The sequence below is a fragment of the Homo sapiens genome, chromosome 17 (assembly GCF_000001405.40).
Source record: "Homo sapiens chromosome 17, GRCh38.p14 Primary Assembly".
In the NCBI taxonomy this organism is placed as follows: Eukaryota; Metazoa; Chordata; class Mammalia; order Primates; family Hominidae; genus Homo; species Homo sapiens.
Window position 1 is genome coordinate 438199 of NC_000017.11, and position 7952 is coordinate 446150.

At 48.2% G+C, this 7952-nt stretch overlaps 1 protein-coding gene across 1 annotated transcript; it reads right to left on the reverse strand.

Annotated features, from left to right (window-relative positions):
* Window positions 1–1779: 1779 nt before the first annotated feature.
* Window positions 1780–7742, reverse strand: RFLNB (refilin B; the record flags this gene model as incomplete). Its single annotated transcript, NM_182705.3, is given in 2 exon segments — window positions 1780–5296; window positions 7638–7742. Coding segments are annotated over 2 exon segments (436 nt in total), but the record flags the coding sequence as incomplete, so codon positions are not given.
* Window positions 7743–7952: the final 210 nt, after the last annotated feature.

Genomic DNA, 7952 nt, shown 5'->3' on the forward strand with positions numbered 1-7952 from the left:
TTTCCCTCAAAACCTTGGAACTGCTGATTAGCCAATTCATTTTATGGAATATTTACACCATATAACCTAATTGGCAAAATTAGCCCTCATTGTTATCCCAGTCAGCCAAATCAGGCATCATTCCTATTAAAAGGGGACTGGAAAAAAAATTACAGAAACGATACTCTGCATTTGTTTCGCAATGGGCAGACCTATGGAAACCTATCCTCAAGGTTCAGGGAAGCTGAGAGCTGGAAGAAAGAGGCTGACAGATTTAGTTCCTCAGAAAGAAACATTTAAGATGGGCACAGTGGCTCACACTTGTAATCCCAAAACTTTAGGACGGTAAGACAGGAAGATTGCTTGAGCCCAGGAGTTCGAAACCAGCCTGGGCAATATGGCGAAACCTCATCTCTACAAAAAAAATTTAAAAATTAGCCTGATGTGGTGGCACATGCTTGTAGTCTCAGCTACTCGGGAGGCTGAGGTGGGCAGATAATTTGTGTCCAGAGGTTCTTGGGCAGCAGTGAACTATGATTGTGCCACTCCACTCCAGCCTGGGAGAAAGAGGGAGATCCTGTCTCAATAAAACAAAGCAAAACAGAAAGAAACATCTAATAGAGCCTCATGAGCAGAAGCCATGAGGTCCCAGGCAGCAGCTAGGGGAGATGGTGGGTCCCTGCACCGTTACCCCTAGACCCAGGACTCGTCCACCGTAGGGAAGGGTTGTGTGGGACGCTCGCAGGGAAAGGCAGGAACGCTATGTGAATCTGCCTCAGGGCAGGATTTGTGCTGAGTACACGTTCCTATACAAGAAACCGTAGATAAAATAGATAAAATAGAGGCATTCGCTGAGCTGGGGTGAATCCGAAGTCAGTAGGGGAGATCAGCATCCAAGAGGGAGCTGCATCTCTGGGACATAATTACTTCCCAGTCATCACTCAAAGACAGACAAATACACACACAGCCTTGCCGTGAATTGGATGCTTGAATGAAATACAGGGCCTCCATCCATTTTCAATATTTCTTGTTGACTCTCTCTTTGCTTTGCCCAAAGGGACGGATGGCGTGCAGGAAATGCTGCCCCAAAATACGGTACTTTCGCTTGCTGTGTATTTTAAGCTCAAGGAAACTGAGAAAACGGCAGAAGCGAAGGGCTCTCTGATCTTCCCTCACCCTTTTCTCCCCTGAAGCAAGCTACAGAAATTATTTATTTTTATTTATTTATTTTTTGAGATGGAGTCTCGCTCCATCACCCAGGCTGGAGTGCAATGGCGTGATCTCAGCTCACTGCAACCTCCGCCTCCCGGGTTCAAGTGATTCTCCTGCCTCAACCTCCCAAGTAGCTGGGATTACAGGTGTGCCCCACCATACCTGGCTAATTTTGGTATTTTTAGTAGAGACGGGGTTTCACCAGGTTGGTCAGGTTGGTCTCGGACTCCTGACCTCAGGTGATCCGCCCGCCTCAGCCTCCCAAAGTGCTGGGATTACAGGAGGGAGCTACGGCGCCTGGCCCCTTTCTTTTTTAATTTTTAATTTTTGTAGAGATGGGGTCACACTGCATTGCCAAGGCTGATCTCGAACTCCTGGCCTCAAGTGATCCTCCAGCCTTGGCCTTGTGAAGCGCTGGGATTATAGGTGTGAGCCACCATGCCCAGCCACACTCGGAAAATCTTGTACTTGTAGATTAATACTGTTAAATATAATCACGTCTTAAAATTTCTCAAGATGAGGAGCTGTTTTTCTCATTTTGCGTAAACAAACATAATTCTACTTTAAAAACAGAAGCATCTCTCTAAGTTTTGTTTTTTCAGATAATTTATTGTTAAATGAAGACATCACAAAGCAAAATGGAGTGGGGCAGGTGTCAAAGGTAAACTGAAAACGTCGTGTCTGCCAAACGCTATTCTGGTTTCCTAAGGTTAGAAACAGGAAAAGTGTCAAATGAAAAGGTACTCGCTCAAATTAAGTTTTTTTAAAAGGTCTGTAATTTGAAAGGAAAACAATTTTTCACTAAAAATATCCTTATTACATGAAAGCCATAATTTAAAAGACAGAGAAAAAAGCTTTTTAATTAACAAATAAACAGCATCTCTCAGAGACACTTGGGAATGTTTGTTTTTAATCAGTGGGTCCTAAAAATCACTGCTTCCACCTGCAAACGAACACGAATCCACTGTGGATGGCGTCCTCTGACCCACCCTGAAGGGTTCTGTTTCTCTCCACACACTTCCTTTTCTGCAACTTTCAGCAAAGCAGGTTTGGAAGAAAGAGGATTACAAAGAACTACGACTGGCTCCCTAGTGAATAACTTAACACGGTAAAACCCGGTTTTCCATTTACATTACACATTCACAATCGCTCACTGCTACTTACTTCACTGACGTATTTCACACTCTCTACACACCCAGCATGATTTGTCTGAACTTAACACAGTCCCCCTAAGACAAAAAAAAATATCTCCTAAGGACCTCTGAGAACACAGCGGTGTTCAAAGGCCACGTCCTCGCACACAACACCCAGACCTGCCACGCAGCCGGTACTGTTTCCTGAGCTCATCCGAGCAAGCGTCTCCACGGGGCAAAGCAAGGCCTTGAGGATCCCGCTAACATAACTTACAAATTATTGGGAGGCCGAGGCGGGTGGATCACAAGGTCAGGTGTTCGAGACCAGCCTGGCCAACATGGTGAAACCCCGTCTCTACTAAAAATACAAAAATTAGCTGGGCGTGGTGGTGGGCACCTGTAATCCCAGCTGCTCAGGAGGCTGAGGCAGGAGAGTCGCTTGAGCCTGGGAGGTGAAGGTTGCAGTGAGCTGAGTTGGCGCCATTCCACTCAGCCTGGGCAACAGAGCGAGACTCCATGTCAAAAAAAAAAAAAAAAAAGACATTGACCACTTAAACGACCACAGCATGAAATCAGACAGAAAAATCCATTTTTATCAATAAATGCTGCGTCACTTGCTCTTCCAAACACAGGAAGCATTTTTTGCTCTGCACGTGACTGAGGAGACTGTGGGTCCCAGGGTGGCCCCTCCCTGGGTCCCAGCCGAGCTTCAGCCCGGCAAGCTCAGACCACGGGTGGACTGCAGGCCCCGTCCACAGGGCGTCGATGCATTGGGGCACAGCGGACTGATGCTGTTGTCTGCAGAGGACAGCGTGGCTCTCCAGGACTCCAGCGACTGCGCACGACGGCGATTGTCGCTGCACCTGCTGCTGTGGCTCCGGGGCACCGCGGGGCTCAGTTCAGCTTTCGGCGCAGATGGAGGCCATCGGCAGAAACCCGGAGCTACAGCCGAGCTGAGCTTACAGTGCTCGGTAACCCTCAGGCACTGGAAATAATTTGGATGTGTTCAAGGGGAATATCTAGTTTGTTCTTTCCAATATTGGAAGAAAAAAGTAAAACCATCAGCCACTTTCTTTACTCAAACACCACAGGGATTGGCAGGAGGTCCCAAGAAGGGGTTAGGGGAGGACGGGGTGGCGGGAGGCAGGTCTGAAGCCACCGCACCCTGGTCCACCCCGCTGCTGGGCCACGCCAGCCGAATTCACACGGTCCTTGGGGACATTTCAGTTGACTGTCACCTGCCTCCGTACGGTGGTGTGAGAGGAATGCGCGCCACCACGGCGGCCAGGTTTTGACATCGTTCCCTACTCTGAATGCACCTTAGCTTGTCTGGTGTCGGGGGATGGGGGCACAGATTTCCTCAGCTTTGCCACTTTTTTTTAGAGATGGAGGCTCACTATGTTGCCAGACCGGTCTCGAATTCTTGGGCTCAAGAGATCCTCCTGCCTCAGTTTCCAAGTAGCTGAGACTACAGGCGCCAGCCACCGTGCCCAGCCTTCCTTGCTTTCTGAATTAGACCTAAGGCACTGGCAGAAACCCTCTGCAATTCTGACGCCATCGAGATCCTAAGACTGAGTCAACTCTAGCTCCTCTCATGATGAACCAGGTCATCGCCTGCGTCTGCCTCCTCCGGGTGGCCGCAGGTCTTAGGGCCACCGCTTCCTGTCCTGAGTGTCCACTCCCCACGTGGACTCCCAAAAAGTGTGTTTTCCAAGCACACTCTTAGAATGCTGTTTCTCTCAAAAAAAGGCCGTCCACTCCGTTTTGCCTTATGAAAAAATGGGAAAGTATTCTGAAAGTATTCCAAAAGCCCAAAACACCTATCGGAGACTCACGGAAGCCTGCGGAGACGGTCACCAGATACCAAGGGTTCGAGGCGTTTCTCAGAGCCTGTGCTTGGAACTGACCGTCAGGAAGCAATCGGAGCCGAAGCCGCTGCTCCCAAACCTGGCCGCCCATCGGCCTGGCCTTCCCGGAGCAGGTGGCAACACGGAGAACCTTTTTTTTTAAAAAAAAAAGGCATCTTAAATTGTGGTTTGGGATTTTCTTTTTTTTTTATATCATGAAAAAAGATTTAGAGAATTACAAGAGTTTAGGTTAATAGGAAACACAAATGGAGGTGGAAATTTAAAAACAAAGGAATGGAACTCAACTCTCCACAGATTGAACCCACACAGGTGTCACTGTTTACTGAATTAGCACCACTTTTGTGCAGTGAAGACACCCGTGGCTGAGATTTCTTAAATCTCACTTTTTCCATGCTTTTCTTCTGACAAACTGACCACGGAGGGAGAGCTCTCCTCCCCCCTCCCTATCCCAGACTGCTGCTGCTTTCCTGCAATTCTGGTGGTCTTTTTGTTGCCTCATCTGATTGAGACTTTGGGGAAACAACACAGCAGCAAACCAGGACATATATTCCCTCTAAAAACAGCTTGAAAATTACAACACAAAGATCTCAATAATTATGAGATGCAGTGATTTTTTCTTTTTTTTCTCTTCCCCCGGCCGCGCTTGGAGGTATCTCTAGGTTAGACTCCTCTGGGGCTGGAATGACGTGAAGGGTAAGGTCGCCCAGCTTGGCCAGGGCAGTCGGGGGCAGGACAGCGGGAGAGCCGGTCCGACCCCAGCCCAGCCTGCTGGGTCAGCATTCATCAGAGAGGTCGTCGCTGCCCGGGAGCTCCGCGGCTTCGAGCTCCACGCTGGACAGAAACCTCCTCAGCGTCTTGCGGCAGTTGTAATCCAGGGTGGTGGTGTAGACGGCCTTGGGGTACTTGGGGTACACGATGGTGGTACTGAGGAAGCGGGTGGGCCTGTGGCGTGGCTCGAAGCGCACCTCGGCCTTGTAGTTGCGCCACGTGCCATTGGGGACACAGGTGACCGTCTGGCTGCAGGAGGCCACCGCCAGGCCCAGGGGCAGCTGCACGTCGTCGATGAAGTGCCTCTCGGAGTCGTACTTGACCAAGGAGGTGTACCTGGGCGGGAGACATAAGAGGCCGCGTGAAGCCGCTCCTCTGAGCCGGGGGCTTGGGGTCCCCACTGTGACCGTGAGTCATTTGTGGGGTGCACATGTAGAAACGTGGCCGCCCCAGTGAGAAGCAGCATAGGGTCACAGAGTCTATAAAGTACTTACTATGTGCCAGGTACCCGTCGTCTAAGTACTTTACTTACGGGATCCAATTTAATCTCCCCAACGACCCTGAGAGAAGAAACCGAGGTGCAGAGGTGAAGGTCACAGCGCCACTGAGTACTGGAGCTGGGATTTAAATACAGGGGTGCAGGCTTCCAAAGCTGGCCCCACATCACTGTTAGCCACTGCGGGCAGCAGCCCTGGATCCTGCTCCCACTCGCACAAGCTTAAGACCTCAGCCAAGTTACTTCACTCTTCCGAGCCTCCGTTTCCTCTTTTTTTTTTTTTTTTTTTGAGATGGAGTCTCGCTCTGTCACCCAGGCTAGAGTGCAGTGGTGCAATCTCAGCTCACTGCAACCTCCGCCTCCCAGGTTAAAGTGATTCTCCTGCCTCAGCCTCCTGAGTAGCTGGGATTACAGGCGCCCGCCACCACGCCCTGCTAATTTTTGTATTTCTACTAGAGACGGGGTTTCACCATGTTGACCAGGCTGGTCTCAAACTCCCGACCTCAGGTGATCTGCCTGCCTTGGCCTCCCAAAACGCTGGGATTATAGACATGAACCACTGCACCTGGCCTCTTTTTTTGTGTTTTTTTTTTTTAAACAACATATCTTTTATTCTTTGTAGAGATGAGGACTTCCTGTGTCGCCCAGGCTGGTCCTAAACTCCTGGGCTCGAGCAATCCTCCTGCATCAGCCTCCCAGAGTGCTGGGATTACAGGCATGAGCCGCCGCACCCACCCTATCAGCTCTTTAATGAGAGGATAAAGGAACCCAGAAACCTTGAATGCTGGTTCTGAAAGTTTGGCTATACCAAATATTAATACTTTGTTCACCTTGGCATTTGGTTTGGGGACCCTCCCTAAACCTACATATCTGGGTATCTGACTTATCAATGAAAGCCAATTATCATCTTGATTTCCATAAGATAAATTAGCATCTGTGTTCCTCAGGCATTTAATTTTTTCAAGTCCTTCTTTTAATTTTGGGAGTCAGTTTTCTTTTCTTTTCTTTCTTTTTTTTTTTTTTGTTTTTCGGAAATGGAGTCTCGCTTTCTCGCCCACTCTGGAGTGGTGCAGTGGGGTGGTCTCAGCTCACCACAGCCTCCACCTCCTGGGCCCAAGCGATCCTCTCACCTCAGCCTCCTGCGTAGCTGGGACTACAGGCGTGCACCACCATTCCCAGGTAATTTTTGTATTTTTTGTAGAGACAGGGTTTCACTGTTGTTGCCCAGGCTGGTCTCGAACTCCTGCTTCAGTCTGCCAGAATGCTGGATTCTAGGCGTGAGCCACCGTGCCTGGCCCAAAAGTTACTTTTCTTACAGAAGCAAAGCTTTAATGCATTTTACTGAATGCTTATAGCTTTGTAGATACTGAAAAGAGTATGAGCGTCACATACAGACACATCTAACAGCACTGCCTCCAACCAGCCCCTACCCACTGGTCAGGTGAGTAAGAATCAGAATTCTTTTCTGTGAGTGGAACGGAAATTTCATCTCTCCTCCTCAGGCAAGTAGTTAAGAGGCTGGTGGGAGTCATGGCCCCATTTTGTTCAAAATACAAGCTCCACAGGAACAAAAGGCTGAACTGCTCACCTCCCAACTGATGAACCTCGTCTTTGTTCCATGTCAAAGGGGCCTTTGTGTTACTGCAGCAGAAACTCCAGCTATCAAACCATCAGGTACCAAAAGTAAAACTCCTTTCTCTAAAAAGACCTCTCTTTACCTGAGCCTTTCAATGCATCTTTGCCCCCAGATAATCCTGGATGAGATAATCCCCAGAGGAAGACCAGCGCTTGCCTAGTGAAATTATACTATGAGACAAGGTTAAAAGACCTCAGAGACTGGGTTGGCAGGTAAGGGAGTAGGGTACAGCAGCTTCTGGAAAGAAGAATTAATATTTGACAAAATTGTAACCCTCTGACAGCCATGATACATGAATTGCAAAAAGAAAATGCAGAACTTTATACATAACATGATCTCATTTTTATTTTAATTTTAAAAGCATGTCTATATATTTAATTGGTTAGAATGCAGGAACAGAAAGAGGACCCACCAAACTATTAATCATCTCTGTCATACTTTTGCAATTAACTAATTTTTTATAACAACAAGCATTAATATCTGGAATAAAAAATAAAAATTGTTAAAAAAAAAAAAAGAATAAAATTGGGGCCTGCTATATTTACCTTACTTCCTTTGGTGGTAAGGGGTCAAACTCCACTCCTTCGCCAAAGGACAGGGGACAAAGCCTCAGCGCACAGCCGGGAGCCAGGGGGAGAGACGCTGGACTCTTCAAGGACAGAGAAGAATGCAGTTAGAGCTCTTACGGGCCATTTCTTTTATTTTTTATTTTTTTTTATTTTTTATTTTTGTGAGACAGAGTCTCGCTCTGTTACCCAGGCTGGAGTGCAATCGTACAATCTCAGCTCACTGCAACCTCTGCCTCCCAGGTTCAAGCAATTCGCCTGCCTCAGCCTCCTGAGTAGCTGGAATTACAGGCA